At 53.1% G+C, this 15,313-nt stretch overlaps 2 protein-coding genes across 16 annotated transcripts in view, besides 1 other annotated feature; one reads left to right on the forward strand and one right to left on the reverse strand.

Annotated features, from left to right (window-relative positions):
• Window positions 1-386: 386 nt before the first annotated feature.
• The window catches only part of THTPA (thiamine triphosphatase), a 48,512-nt gene continuing 33,585 nt past the window's right edge, over window positions 387-15,313 (forward strand). Inside the window, exons 1-4 of one of the 2 annotated variants that reach the window (NR_046051.1) lie at window positions 387-488; window positions 1,437-1,500; window positions 1,844-1,961; window positions 2,863-3,043. The gene's annotated coding sequence lies outside the window, so the exon portion shown is untranslated. Of the gene's footprint in view, window positions 489-1,436; window positions 1,501-1,843; window positions 1,962-2,862; window positions 3,044-15,313 lie in introns of those variants that run through there. The other variant, NR_046052.1, reaches the window with a different exon arrangement.
• The window catches only part of ZFHX2 (zinc finger homeobox 2), a 35,096-nt gene continuing 29,266 nt past the window's right edge, over window positions 9,484-15,313 (reverse strand). For all 14 annotated transcript variants that reach the window (XM_047431824.1, XM_011537245.4, XM_047431818.1 and 11 more), the window contains 2 exons: window positions 11,830-15,306; window positions 9,484-11,568 (listed from right to left, as the gene is read on the reverse strand). In XM_047431824.1, coding sequence (XP_047287780.1) covers window positions 10,589-11,568; window positions 11,830-15,306 — 4,457 coding nt within the window. In that variant the 3' untranslated portion in view covers window positions 9,484-10,588. The remainder of the gene's footprint in view (window positions 11,569-11,829; window positions 15,307-15,313) is intronic.
• Window positions 13,353-14,204: an enhancer, noted in NCBI's record as "H3K4me1 hESC enhancer chr14:23993935-23994786 (GRCh37/hg19 assembly coordinates)". NCBI's record gives its function as "activates a minimal SCP1, AML or CMV promoter by ChIP-STARR-seq in naive H9 embryonic stem cells {active_cell/tissue: H9 hESC(naive)}" and the evidence as "EXISTENCE:reporter gene assay evidence [ECO:0000049][PMID:30033119]".

A 15,313-nucleotide genomic window follows, 5' to 3' on the forward strand; every position in this document is an offset into this window, starting at 1 on the left:
GATAGCCCTTACTGACTTATTCCTAAATTCCTGACTTTTGAGGTAGGTAAGAGTACACACTTTTCCTACTCTGGAACTGCAAAGGCAGGCAGTGTTATGTTGTGGTCTTCCTAAGGCAGTCTTACAGGCACTGTCAGCGATTCTCTGCTATTAATAATTCCCATTGATTTGATACCCTCACATTTCCCTATATTGATCTCCCATGTCTCCCTGCAGCAGATGTTCCTAGAATGCTCCTTCCCCTTGACAGAGAGGTAGACAAGGGCAAGTCAACAGGGACCCCTCTGAGCCCAGAGTGTTCTCTTGGTGACCTGGTCTGAGGGTCAGTGTGGCTGAATTGACAAATAGTAGCTGTTGACTCCCTGGTTTGGGGTTGGTTTTCTATAGGAGAAGCAACTGTTGGAGTCAGCTGCCTGAGGAATATACTTCTCTAGGCTGGGGTGGGGAAATGAGCTTGAAGACAAGGAACTGGCTGAGTCTTAATTTGGGTAAGAAGGCTCGGTGGCGCTCACTTGGACTGCAGTTTTATACCCCATTTTCCATGTCTATTCTCCTCCTTCCCCCGCCCCAACCTGTCCATCACCACTCAGCTCTCTTCCTCCTTCATCCTTCTTTTGGGTTCTCTTTCCCTCCCCGCTGTTCTTCTAAGAAGACTGGCTCTCCTTCCTCCTCCCCCATCCCAATCTCTACTTCTCTTCACATCCCCTCTGCACCCCCAGCCTGGCAGCCTGCCCTGTAGGAATGTTAATTAGCATCCACGATTTAATTAATTCAGTAGCTAATTAATGATTGGGGACTGGGGGCTGGGGAGCTGGGGTGCAGGGGGTTGGGGGCTGGAGGTGACAGGGAGAAATAGCAGAGGTTGCAGAAGGCATCGCAGATGGCTGTGCGGTGGCTGGCACAGTGCCCACCGCCATGGATGCAAACACACTTGCGCGCACGCACACGTATACACACACACACAAAAAGGAAAGGGTGATCGAGGAATCAAAAGCAGGCAGGGAAGGGCACAGGGGCCCTGGGAACTGGGGCTGTGCGGCTGGGGGTGGGGAAGGCTCTAGATCTATTTGAATCTGCTCCGGAAGTAGAAGAGGAGAAAAAAAAGAAACAACCACAGGCGCAGAGAGAAGCGAGCTCTCCCGATACCCCACCTCACCCCACCCCCACCCCACCCCAGCCACCCCTCCTCCCTGGCATGGGATTCATGGGCACCAGCTGAGAACGGGGTCCCCTCCCTCTGCCTGCCATAAATATTGGTACTGAGGACCCAGACTCAGAAGGATAGGATATTCCCAAAGAAAAGAGTTTTTCTTTTAAGTTGCTTTAAAAAATATATATGTGTGTGTGTGTGTGTGTATATATATATGCATATATATGTATATATGCATATATATATATATATTTTAAATTGCACCCGTTCTGGTGTGAGGGCGAAGGCGAGTGAAAGAAGGTGACTGAGCCAGGAGGAGAGCACAGATGGCTTGGTGGTGGTATGGTGTGGTGAGTTGTGGGGAGGAAAAGAGGGGGGTCTGGCAGAGGTTGGGGGTGGGTGGAATGAGGACCCTGTTTTCCTCTTTTCGTATTGCTGTGGATGAAGGAGAGAGAGAGAAAAAGAGAGAAAGTGGGTGGGGAGAGAAGCGAGACAGATGGCAGAGTGGAGAGGCAGCAGCCAGTGCCGGCACTGCCCAGCCTGGGCGGACCCAGCTCCCTCCGCCTGCCAGCTCTCCAAATGCCACCCTTCCCCCATCCTCCCCTCTCCCCATCCCCCCAGCTTGGCACTGATCTCGGGGAGAGAGAGGGAGGGAGGCTGGGCAAAGAGCATCTGTTCCCTCCATTCTCCCAGCTCCATCGGCTGCCAACCTAGGGCCATCGTCTGCCTCCATCACCCCTCCGCCCGCCCGCCTACCCACCCAATCCCAAACGGGTGCTGGATCAGGTGCTGAATCCGGCTGCCTCCTCGGGTACCAGTCACTGTGCATTGCTGTGTGTCTGCCACCGCTGCCTGGCACTCATGGGGCCGTGTGTGTGTGTATGTGTGTGTGCGCGCATGTACATGTACGCATAAGCGTGTGCTGTATGTGAGCCTCCTGGGCATGGGTGGGGGTTGGCATTGCGGTTGCCAATCTAGTGTACAACCAGAAGGACAGAGGGATGGAGTGGAAGAAGGAGGGGAGAGGCTTGGGGTCTGGGAGGGGAGAAGAGGGTGCATGAGTTGCTTCATGCTGCCTGCTTACAGGCATTGGCATTGTAGCTGCCACCCTTGTGCCCACGGAGATGGGAGGAGGCGAGTGGAGGGCGCAGCGGCAGGAGTCCTGTGCTCTGGGAGGAAGGCTTTGTACATGGGAGCTGTTGGCATCACATCTGTCAGGCCGGTGCCCAGAACTGGGGCAATGGAGACTGGGGGATCCAGGAAGCAGGGAGGAGGGGCAGAATGTGTTTCTGATGTTGCTGTCCCTCTAGAAGCTCAGCTCTGAAAAATGGTTGGAGTATGAGGTGATTAGTGCTCTTCCAGCTTGAGGAAGTAAAGTGGTGGAGAGAGTAGCCAGGGAAGTGCCAAGAAACAGTCTACGAGCCAGGGAGGAGGGAGTGTGCCACCGTACCCAGGGAGAACTTGTTGGGGCTGGCAATCTGGCCCTTTGTCAGAGTATTGAAGGAGACAGCAAGAGGACCAGATGTGAGGTGGGTGGGTGCTGGCACTGCCCATGGCACCTGGCACAGGCTCTGGCATTGTGTGGAACAGGGGAGGTTGACAGTGCCTCTTGCCAATCTGGTTGAGAGGGCTATTGTGCCAGGAGTGAGAAGGAAGGAGGTGAAACATTTCGGGAGGTGGGGTGTTTGGGAGACCAGATTTTTTTCTGCCAGGTCCTCCTTCCCCTTCCCTCTTAGGCATGGGGAGTGGAGCAACAGACGGAGAGTGGCATGAAGACACAAAGGAGGAAGCACACCATTGCCAAGACCCCAAGGAAGAAGGATGGAAAGCGCTGGCAGTCCTGCCTGGCCCCCAGCCAGTTCCCTGCTGAAGATGGCCAGATCCCCTTGTCTGGTCTGTATATGCCACTTTTGCTGGGGTGGAAGGAGGGAAGGGCTGGCTTGCTGAGCTGGGCTCTAGAATGGGAAGGGTACCTTTCTGCAGATCCCATTTGGACTCTCCACTTGAACAAGTGAGGTGTCTGATTTTCTTCTTCGGTACCTTCCTCTCCTCCCCCTCCCTTCGCCTCACCCCGCTTTCATCTCTCATCACCACCTGGGTCCTACTGCTTGGCACCCAACCAACTGGATGCTGCCACGTTTGGCAGTGCTGCACTGGCACGTGAACAGTGTCTCAGATCCTGGCACTGCAGCAAACCCAAAGCCACCAAACATGCTCATGATGCCACTTGGCAGCAGTCAGAGAGAGGGGGCTGTGCACATAGTGGTGGCCAGGCATTGGGTGGAGCTCTGTGCAGGGAACTGGCATGAGAGGATGCCCTTAACAACTGGGCTGAGTCAGCACTCCCTGGTCAATCTCAGCTCTGCCTTCCTCCCAACTAGATATCCACCTCCTTCCTACCCTTATTGCCCCCACGAAAGGGATTTAGATGGTACCATATTGAGTGTTTGAGCACCATGCGAAAGGAAACAAGCACAGAGGGACAGGCTAGAGCACAGGCTGTAGACACACCCAAGGCTCCAGGCTAGTGGACCATACATATCCTTGGACAACAAGAACAACAACAACAACAACAAAACCCTAGGAGAGCAAAAGGAGGTGGAGAGAGGGACACCAGCTGTGTTGTTACCAGGATGGCACAAGAAGAGATTGGAAGGGAAGTAGGAAGGAGTGACCCTCAGACCTTGCTCTTGGGTGATGGGGTGGTTTGTACTTATGCATATTTCATTCTGCCTTGTGCCTTGTGATTTGCTGAGCTGTGGTTGAGATGAACTGGTTCTTTCTCCCTTGTTAAAAGGTCCATATTCAATAATAGTCCTAGAAAGATGGAAAGGTGCTCTAGGCCTAGAGAGGTAGACAGGTGTTAGGAAGACAAAGGGACTTGTCCTTCCAGAAAGACTATGCAAGGCACCCAGTTAGAGTTGGATAGATTTCCATATCTTTGAAATCCATCCCAAGAAGGGAGATTGAGGATAAGCAATGATCCCTGGTAGAGGGGAAGGCCCCTAGGAGGAGAATCCCCAGCATCTGTGGTGATACAGACTAGCCCTCAGAAAACTAGACCTTGAGCCCCCATCTGAAAGAATTTCTAGTAGGTTTGGCTTTCCCAGTGACTGGGCAGATCTTTAGAAGATCTGGAAGATTTGGCTGTGGGTGATGTGGAGGGGAGGCTGGGTGGCTCTGGGAGATAGGACCTGCCCAGAGGTAGGAGTAAAGTCCATGCTGGGCTGAGCTGCTCAGGGCTGGGGAAGTTCTGATTTCAGCATCTCTGGAAGTGTATGGCTACTTCAGAAGAAGCAAGGTGTTTTCCACAGCAGAGGAGAAAGCAGGGAGGCACTCAGCCAAAGTGGTGAGTGGACAATGTTTCTATCTTTTCTCCTGTTCAAGAACAGCCAACGTGAGCAGAAGACCATGGTCAGTTTCCAGTATGTTGGGGGTGGGAGTCGGGGTGATGTCAGAGTAATGAAGTCAACAAATCTGAGGTTATGATAAGCCCTGGTGTGGTAGCCCCTGGGGTAGCAGGGTTGGTCCCTGGGTGCTGAAGAGATGGGGGCAGGTCACAGATATGGTGCTAAGCTCTCTAGGTCAGTGGTTCTCAAACTTCAGAGGGCATAGAATCATTTCAGGAGTTTCTGGTTCAGTTGGTCTTAGGTGTGGTCCAGGAATATGCATTTTACATAAGCACTCATGTTCCAAGTGGACACTTGAAACGTTGAAAAACACTGTTCTGAGAGATGGCAGTCACCTTTAGGATGGTCGATCCAATCAGGGTTTCCCTTGCCTTTTGCATCTGTCTTCCCCAGACTTACTCATGTCTTTATGCTGACATGTTTGGGATATGTTTGTTGTGGGGTGTGTGTATGCGTTTTGGGTGGGAGCAGTGGGAGGAAAAGGAGAGATTGTGAGGTTGAATCCAGCGAATGTAACTTGTTAGAACAATGATCCTCACTGGCAGTAGTTACCACAGAAGAATCCTTTAGGGAACACTTTGAAAATTCACTCTTTCTTCACCCACAGATTCTGAAGGCTGGCTGCCCGTGGGTTTCTGAAACCTCATCATTGAGAATCACTAGGTTAGGAACATTGTCAAGAGATTATTCTCTGTGATCAAGTCAAAATTGTGTAGATTTTGTGGCTAGGTACAAGATGGGTCCTGGAGGCAGGCCTGGGTCCCGGGTAATGGAAGTAGGGGTCCACAGAGTACAACTCAGCCTACTGCTGATACTCAGCAAATGGCAGAAGATGCTGTGGTTTGAGCACTTGGTGGGGACATCTAGAAATGAGCACAGCATGGGTCATTCTTCACATCCAATTGAGAAGACTTAGTGCAGGGTTTGGTATCAGGGAGGACTTGTAGATATGGGGCAGTGCTGAGCCCCTGCTGATTACTGGTTGTGGTGTCTTAGCCATTGTTTGTGTAAGAATATGTGTGCAGTTGGGTGGGATTAGGAGTCAACCCCGGGTGCTGCATCACCTTTCCCCCTCTTCTTGGACAGGTTCAGCTTGTTCTGGTCTACCTATACTCAACCTGCTTCCCCATTAGCTTCTGGCCAGACTTCTTTCCATGGCTGCGGAATTGCAAGAAATACCATACTTAGACTACTGCCAGAGAATAATGACATTTACCCCTTGTCTGTGCTTTGTGTGAGGGCTGTCTGGGTTCCATATATGAAGGAGCGTCACTGGGTGGTCACGCAATTGAATCACGCAATTTTATCTTCTTCCCATAACATATAGTTTCTCTCAAGAGGAATTACCTTCATGATTACTTCCCATCTTTCCCCAAACTTGATGGGCCATGGTCAAGATCTTCTGCAAATGTCCTCTCTCAAATTTGCCTTCATCTGATCTTTTTATAATGTATCTGAGCTATAATCCTGTAGACCCTGAGGCTGGGTCTACAGACTTGCTGTAGCAAGAGCTTTCTCAGTATAAAGGCATTTCTTCCCAACTCAGTCTCCTAGAAATGACGCTTTCATGGCTTATAAGTTTCTGACTGGTTGCTTCTGAGAGAAATTGTCCCCCAATACCTGGCCATTCGCAGAAGTTTACCCTGTTTTTCATGGTGACATCATATGAGTTTTCCCAAAAGTTTCCTCCTAATTTGCCTCCTACATATCTCTTCCCTGATGTCCAGAATAATTTACGGTCCTCTCCCCATCGGGTGTGTGTGTGTTTGTTTGTTTGTTTTTTGTGACTGCGAGGAGGGGAGTGGACCCCTCAACCATGTGCGTGCCCCCACTGCTGCCATCCCCCTGTCCCCTCTTGACTGCCAGCAACAGCTTGGTATGGGCCCAATGCCCATCCATTTTCAGGGCTAGTTGATTTGGCAGGTGAGTTGTTACACACTCCTTAGCAGATCCTCTCCCCATATGTTAATATTCAACATTTGGTCACTCTTCCTCTTACCGGTTACTTTTTCCTCTCACTTTCTCTGTTTATAAGCTTTTTCTACCTACTTTTGTGTGAGAAAAATTAGCGTGTGTTGGAGGGTATTTCTGCTTATGGGAGTATAGGTCATGGGTCTTGGGATATGTCCCTTGTACTTATACATATGCCCATGGGGCCCCATCCTTGCTGGCACTGGTGTGTTTCCCTGCAGCCCCCTCTGCTGGGGTCTGCTGCTGTTTCTGAGGGTGTGTTTGTTTGTTTCACTGGTGTAGTTATATATATGGAGCTCTATATTTCAGATTTACATATCTTTCCAGGGATGAATGACTGTCTTAAAACAGATCACAGTGGTGGAGATTTGGAGAATCAGTGGTCTGGTCTATAAGCCCTGAGAGTGGTTAAGAAACAAATACAAAGAATTAAGCAGATGGGTGCTATTATGCCTGGAATAAAAGGCTTGCTTGGTTCTTAAGCCTACTTCTGTAAGTATACTCCAGGGCTGGAAGGGTGGGATAGAAACAGATTTCTTTATGTGGTTCCTGTTGCAAACTCTGTCTTGTTTGGCCATTAAGGCTTCAGATTTTCTTATATTCTTCTAGCAATCTTTTTGTTCCTAGTTGAGGATTGGACACCTTACACCATCCTCACACAGACTCTGGTTTAGAGCAAAAATAGCCAAGATCACTTTCACCACCGCCTCTTGGTCTGACCCTGGTCGTTAAGTAGGGCAGAGCTCAATTTGGGTGCCTCTTTAAGGACGAGTGTATGTTAGAAGCCAAGCCCTAGGGTTAGGGGTGGGGGAGGTACTGTAAAATAGGTGTTATTGTGCCAAATGCTTGAGTTACGGCTGTTACTCCACAGGAGAAATACCATGATTTAATTCTGGTGACTTGGCATTAGCCTCTAGGATTCTGCAAAGGATTGTGCTGACTCAGCCTTCTGTCCACCAGAATGCCCACTGTGCATTGCTCTCTGGAGCAGGACTGCTGCTGCTAAGGACTTCTGGTGTGAGAAAGGGACTGGGAAGGAATGCTTCCAGCCACTGGGAACATGGAATGGTGCCCCCTCAGGAAGCATGTTAATTGACCTAAGTCAGCAGAGTCAGCCCGGCTCTTTTGCCCCCAAATTCCAGGGTTCCAGGTAAGTACAGTTGCTTAGAGTCAGCTCATATCTACTGTTGGGACCGCACGTGGTATTGCCAGGCCAGGGTGTTAGGTGTAAAAGAACATGTTGCGTGACAAGAGGAGGGGGGATTTCTGGTTACATCAACTCTCGGTGAAAACACTCATAGTTCAAACTGAAGTTGGCTGAAATCCTTAAGATACAGCACACCACACTTCTAATCATTCCATGCCAGGTGTTTGTCGATGCTTTCTTTAAAACGTTTCCTTTGTCTTGTTTTTGTTCTAAATTGTTTTTGGTTTCTAACTTTTATACACAAGTCACATTCCCAGAAAGCACAAGTGAAGAATCTTCTTTCCTCAGATACATGCTGCTAAGAAAATAGTTTTATATATAGAATTTCAACAGGAGAGAGAAAAGGACAGGGAGAGAGGGGTACAAGAGAGGCGGGGAAAGAAGGTGGCAGTGAGCACAAGACCCGGTGGCCAGTTTCTCTCCTGTTGCCTAGATCTGTGACTGGCATTTTTGGTATCAGAAATTGGGGTGGAATTACAAAACTAACTCCGCCTAATTTGCTGTTAGTTAGAAAACTAACTCCACCCCACCCCTAATTTGTTAGAGTTGGAGTTATTCAGAAGTGAATGGGACAGGAAGTGAGACTCATGGAATATATGGGGGCTACTGACTGAGCTGAATTTTCTGTCCCCTCCCATTCTGTCTGCATGTAAGACACTGCTTCAGTATTAACATGTTCACAGAGTGATGTGACTGATAGAGCAGAAAACCTAAATCCCAGGGCTGGCTGAATTTGTATGAGAATATGAAATGGATAATGATAGAGCAACAGCCTGGAGGGGAGAGAGGATGGAAGGAGAACACCTTGAAAGAGAAGTGGTCTTAGGGACAAGAGTAGTAGGAAAAACTACCTGGAGGACGAGGAATTTTGCAGACTTTTCTTTGCTAAAAGAAAACATGGACTTCTCTACCCCACACTACTTTAGCTGGGCTTTAGGGTTGCCAGAATTTTCACCTGATGGCTACAGAAACCATTTGCCTAGGGGTACAGAACATTCTTCTAGGTTCTGTTGGTTCCCTTGGTGATAACACCCTATCAAAGATTGACCTGTGCTTCAGTCATCTCCTTGCCCACCCCATCCCCTCAATTCGTGTCAGCTCTAGAACCCCATGAGTCTCATGGACGGGTCCCGACTCCCTTGGGGATGCCTCCAGCAGCTGCTGCTTAACGGAGAAGCTGGGCTGGGCTGGACTGGAGGGAGCAGGAGCAAGGGCAGAGGACAAGGGGGAAGAAAAGGAGACTGGGGGGAAGGGAACAAGGGACCCAGCAAAGGTGGGCCTCCAGGGGGGCAGCAGGGTTAGGAGTTTGTGAGAAAGGTAAATGCAAGGAGAAGGCAGGAGATGAAAGAGAAGCAGATCTCAGATTCAGAAGTTAAATACCCCACTCACCCCCTTCTTCCTGGGACTGCCAAGATACTTTTGGTGACACTGACTTTTCTAACTCATAGCTGGAAATGAGGGGCTATTACCTGTCCTGATAAATACCCAACTCAGGGAGCGGGGACATGTCCCTCCCCAGAGTTCAGGCTCTTCTCCCTGTATCGCCAGCTCCCACCTTGGAGGCTGCGCATAGCAGGGGAGGGCTGCACCGGCATCGGCCCTTCGAGGACCACCAGACCCATAGCAAGGAGCTAAAGCTGTTTGGTCTTCCAAAGATGAGGTGGTTTAAAGAAACCCTTAAACCGGGGGGGTGGGGGTGGGACAGGGAGCAGGGAGTGACACAAATAGGAAAAAAAACACTTGTCTGATGGGAGTTTTCTTCCTTTTTTTTTTTTTCTGTATTTTCCAAGTTTACGTTTTTCTTTAGTTCATTCCTCTGGTGTCCGTTTCTCTCTTTTGTGCGCGTGTGCACGTACTCTCTCTCGCTCTTGCTTTTTTGGTTGTGTTTCAGTTTTTTTTTTTGAAAGAACTTTGGATTTGCCGTTGGTGGGCAGTGCCTGTCCCTGGAGGCTGGACCCTCACGTGGCAGGGCTAGGACAAGGGGCAGGCCCACGGCCGCTGAGAGGATCTCTGTGTTTAAAGCCTTTGAGAATAAGTTACTGCAGTTCCCAGGGTGCAAGGTAGGGATTGGCAGAGGGGTTTCTGGTGGCGGCATCCCCTAGAGTCCAGGCCACAGGGGCTCCCCTGTCAGGCAAGGAGAGGGTTAGGAGGGAGAGGGTAGGAAGAGTGAACCAGAAGCACTTCTCCCATGCCAGCCTCCAGTTTGGTTAGAGTTTTGTGGGCTCCCTGCCCATGCCAGGCTCCAACTTTGGGAGCCAACTGAGCATTTGGAAAGAGTTTGTGAGCGGTGTGGTGCTCTAGACAAAGGGTTAGGAAGGAGAAGAGAGAGTGGCGAAGTTTGTTTTCCTTCCCCCTTCTTTGCCTTGGGCTTTCTTTTTCGTTTCTTCTTTTTATCTTCTTTTTCAAAATTTTTTGGTGTTTTCTCAGTGGAACATCATGGGATAACGTGTGTGTGTGCATGTATGTGTATGCATTTATGGGGATGGGGAGCTGGGAATTCAGTGAGGAAAAGGAAGATAGAACCAAGGATATATTTTGTGTGTGGTAGGCAGACATGTATGAATAATCAGGGTGCCAAGATGGGTGTATGTGTCTGTGAAGATGGGCAAGGGCTACATCTGCAAGGAGCTGAGGAGGAGGATCAATGTGTGTGTCTGTGGGGATTGGGAGGAGGCAGGACTCTGCTGGAAGTGGGGTGTGTGGTGCCCACTGAGGGTGGGAACTGAACAGTTCCTGTGAGGTGGGCGGGGCCAGGGGGTGGGGTGAGGGATTTGAGCTCCCACCGAACACCCCTTGGGGTAAAAGAGGGAGCCCTGAGGCCCTCCCCTCTCCCCATCTTGGTTAATCTGTTTATAAAGCTAGAAGTGTAGAGGTAGTCGTAGTTTTTGGGTTGGAGTCCGTGTGAGGTAATCTTGCTTCCTCTTTGGCAAAAGCCACAGCAGCCGAGGCAGCAGTGGCGGCGTTGGTGATGGAGATGGGTGGGCCCCCTTGAGGTGGGGCTGCCTTGCGCCTGTGGGCCGAGGAGCGCAGGTGGGAGGCTAGGGCTTCACGCCCACTCAGCAGCACCTCACATGCCAGGCAGTGGTAGGTGCAGATGGGCACCCGCAATGGGGGTGGCATGGAGCCCCCAGAGCCCCGCCCAAAGAAGCAGAAGGATCTCTGGTGGGCAGTAGCCGGGGCCTCCCCGTCAAATGCCATCTTGCACTGGCGGCACAGGTAGCGATGGGTTACATCCACGGTGGAGATGCCAGTGCTGCCTGTCAGCAGCTCATCAACCTCACCAGCTTCCCCCTCCCCTGGAGCAGGCAGTTCAGGAGGCTTTGGAGGTGCTGTGGCTGTGGGCTCAGGGGGCTGGGGTGGCGGCTGGAGGAGGGCATTGGGGAGCAGCCCAATGAGGGTCTGAGGTATCATGGGGTTCATGGGAAATAGCCCCTTCTTCATGCCATAGAGCTGTTGGAAGTAGGCCCCCTGTAGCTGGGGGCCAAAGACAGCTGGCGGTGCTGTTCCCCCAGCAGGGGGCAATGGAAAGGGCAGGAACTGGCCCCCCAACAGGGCTGGGACAGTGGTCTTCAATGCTTTGAGGTTCTTGAGGGCATCATTGGAGGAGCTGGTGGGGCCTGCAACTGGCTTTCGCTCACTGGAGACCTTGTCCCCCAAGGGCTCAGTAGGAGGGCCTGGGACAGGGTCAGTGGTGCCTGCTGTGGAGGTGTTGGTTTGGTCGGGCATGGGTCTCTGAGGTAAGGGGCGGCCTGGGCCAGCAGTCTGGACCACTGTGGTGGTAGGCAGGACCGAAGTGGCGAGGCCGAGGAGGCCTGAGGAGGCTGCCGGGCCTAGAAAGGTGAAAGGAAGGATGAAGGATTAGCCATCTCCTGTCCCATCATTCTTCCTGCCATAGGCCACCTCCAGCCACACACACCCGTTCCCAGCACCGGATTTCCATGCCCCTTCCCTCCCTTCTTTCCCCCAAGAGCCTGATGCAAAGGAAGGCCACAGGAGATTGGGCATGGGAAGAATCAGGAAGGAAAAGGAAGGGCATGTCATTAGAGGGGGATGTTCTCTGAAGTCCAGCTCCTCCCAGCCTCCCTACTCACCTGAATTGAAAGGAGCTAAGTTGCCCAGCGGGGGCTGAGCCAGAGCTGGGCCAGATAAGAGGACCGGCGCCAGGCGAGGCAAGGTTGGGGCAGCCCCGAGGGGCATGGAGGCAGGTGTGGTGGCAGGTGGGGCCTTGAGAGCTGGGGGAGCCTCAGGTGCTGGGGCCAAGTCGTAGCACTTGCTTTCACTCTTCAGCTGGGCTCGAACCGCCTCCTTGAGCTTGGCCAGGTGCTGACGGGAAAAGAGATGGCCTCGGCAGGAGACATAGAAATCATACTTGACATCACAATAGGGGCAGTCAGTGCGCTGGGCTGCTAAGAGGCCCTCACTGCTGCCCCCAGTGCTCCCAGCGGCTGTCCCCTGTAGTTTGGCCTTCTTTTCCTTGGCACGAGCATTCTGGAACCAGACCTGGATGACTCTCTTGGGCAGCCCAATCTCCTCTCCCAGCACCTCACACTCCTGCATGGTGGGGGTGCGGTAAGCTTCATAGCAGGCTTTCATGATCTTCAGCTGCAGGCTGCTCATCTGGGTCCTGTAGCGCCGCTGCCCCATTCCATCTGGAACCCCAGTCCCACCTCCAGGTCCCCCACTGGTCCCTCCAGCCCCAGGGGATTCTGGTTCAGCTAGGCTGGAAGCAGATGAATCACTCAGATCTCCTGCAGAGAGACTGCAAGCCTCACTCTCTGGAGAAGCTTTAGGTGGTTCCTCTGGGCCCTCTTCCTCACTGGGTGGAGGGGGAGGTAGGAGAGGTAGAGGTGGCTCTGGTGTTGGGGTGGTGGCCTCTTTCCCAGGTGGTAGGAAAGGCTGGGGCCCAGAAGCAAGCGTGGCAGTGGGGTAGGGAAAAGCAGGTGCTTCCCTCTTTGGGGCTTCCCTCCCAGTGCCATCATCTACCTTGCCTAATAAGAGGTTGAACTTGGGCAAGGATGCAGGGGTGGCTGTGGCAGGCGGTTTCACTGCTGGACTAGGCACCCCCCCAGGGGTGCTTCGAAACTGGCCTTTCCTCTCCCGGGCCCTGGTATTCTGGAACCAGACCTGTACCACTCGCTTTTTGAGCCCCACCTCCTCGGAGATGCAGTCGAGCATCTTGCGTGTTGGGTTGGAATCCTGCATGTACCAACGGTACAGGATCTCTAGCTGCTCAGGCAAGATGGTGGTGCGCAGGCGCTTGTCCCTGGGGGGCTCGCCCTCCCCTCCTCCCCCTGCTTCACTGCCTGTGGGAGACAAGCTGCCGTCCTCATGCTTCCGTTTGAGAGGTGGACCTGGCATTGGTGAGGTGGCTGCCACCAGGGGGTTTCTCTCCCCAAACACCAGCAAGGGCAGATCTAGGAGTTGGGGGGGAGCACTGGGCTGCAGAGATGGCAGGAAATGTAGTCGGCGGTGACTGGTCAGGAGGTCCTGGCTGGAGAAAGAAATGGCACACTGGTCACAGGTATGGGCTGGGGAAGGTGATGGAGTAGCCTTCTCTTCAGGCTCTTTGCCTCCTGCCTTTGTTGCCTCTGCTTGGCTCAGCTCCTCCCCATCTGGAGGCTCTGGTAATGGGCCCTCAGGCCCTGCTGGAGGTTCAAGGCCCTGTTCCTCCTCTACTTCTTCTTCTTCCACCTCTTCCTCCTCTTCCCCTCTCTCTGCCTCTTCCTCCTCCTCTTCAAGGGTCTGGTCATCATAGCACTTCTTGAGGTGGCGCACCAACTCAAAAACACAGGAGAAAGTGGCGTGGCAACGCCTGCAGCCGGAGGCTCCCCCAGTGCCTCCTCCGGTTGGCATGGACCCACCCTCACAGGCATTTTTGCGTGCTTTCTGGCGGGCATTCTGGAACCACACCACCACCACACGGCTAGCCAGACCCAACAGACTTGCGAGTCGCTCCACCTCTCCGTCTTTGGGGTAGGCGCTAGTCTCAAAGAAAGACTGCAGGGCTTGGGTCTGGAACTCTGTGAACTTGGTTCTGGAGAACCGGCGGCCGGCAGGCACCAGGGGAGGAAGATTCCCTCTGGAGCTTTCTTCCTCTTCTATGGGCCAGTGTCCCCCTGCTCGACTTCGCTCTTCAGGGGCACGGGTCCCCCCTGCCTCAGGCTCTGGGACCAGGAAGGGTGGGCCCAGATGGGGAACAGGTGAATCCAGAGACCCATCAGGAGGTTTGGGAGGCTCTGCAAGGGGCGGGTATAGGCTGTCATAGCTCTTTCGAAACTGAGCAGCATAACGGCTCAGGGCTTCAAAGGGCAGAAAGCGGCGGTGGACATGTTCCTCGTGTGTCTTGAGGATAAGCATATTGGAGAAGAGTTTCCCACAGGCCCCACAGGCCAGCTTGTCCCCACCCCCGAGGGCCTCAGGTGGGGGTGGGGTAGGGGGAGGGGGCACAGCTTGCTTCCCTTCATTGTACTGGATCACCAGCTCAAAGCCAAAGTTTTCTAGAAGGGCTTTGGCTGCAGTGCGGGCAGCCTCGTTGGGCAATGGGTCGGGGGGTGAGGAAGGCCCTGCCTCATTACCCTCTTTGGCCATGGGGGGCCGCTCCCACTCCCGCTCAGCCAGCTCAGCCTTGGGAGGTTGGGGTGGAGGAGGAGGGGTGGCAGCTGGCAGGGACAGCACAGGTGCAGGCCCAGCTAGTGTCAGCTTGGGCCCCACCTTGAGATCGTGGAGGTAGAAGGGCAGGAGCAGCTGCTGCTGCTGGAGCTTAAGCAGTGATTCGGGCACCAGAGGGAAGGGGGGCAGGACTGGTGGGGTGAAGAGAGGGGCTGGGAATCGGTGCAGGTCCAAGGGAGGTGGGGGAGGGGACAGGAAAGGCAATCCAGATATGAAGCCACTGGTGTCAGGGCCCTTCTTCTCAGTGCCCACCTCCCCCTCTGTCTCGCCTTCCTTGGGCTCTTCTTGGCTGCGTTCTGGCCCTTCAATCTTGGAATCAGTCTTGGTTCCCCGAGAGCGAGTCTGATGCAGAACTGACCGCATGTGGATCTCCAGGGTGGAGCTCTGGTTGTAGGAGACTCTGCAGACTGTGCACTTAAAGGGCTTGTCTGTGGCAGCAGTGGTGGTGGGTGGGGCACCGGCCTCTCCCCGTGCAGGGGCAGAGGGGTCAATGGCAGCCTTCTTCATCTTGTGAAGGTGGGAGACAGAATTATAATGAACCAACAGAATATTCTTCTGGGTGAAGGACTCCTTACACACAGTGCACTTATAGGGCCGGGCAGGGTCGAGAAACTTGTCCAGGGCAAAGTTGGTGGTTTTCCGATAGGTCAGAGGGTGGCGAGAGTCAGCTGGAGCTGGCTCTGCAGAGCGGAGCTCCCCAGTGGTCCCCTCTTCCTCCTCAGCCATGGTGGGCGGAGGAGCTACGTCTTCAGCTTGGGCATCAGGTTCAGGGACTGGAGATGGGGCTGGAGAAGGGGGTTGGCCAGGGCTTCCTGAGGGTTTGTCTGGGACCTCAACTGAGGCCAGGGGAGGCTCAGGAAGAGGATCTGGACTGGCTTCTGGGGTCAGGTTAGGGCCTTCTAGGGG

Source organism: Homo sapiens, chromosome 14, assembly GCF_000001405.40.
Source record: "Homo sapiens chromosome 14, GRCh38.p14 Primary Assembly".
In the NCBI taxonomy this organism is placed as follows: domain Eukaryota; kingdom Metazoa; phylum Chordata; class Mammalia; order Primates; family Hominidae; genus Homo; species Homo sapiens.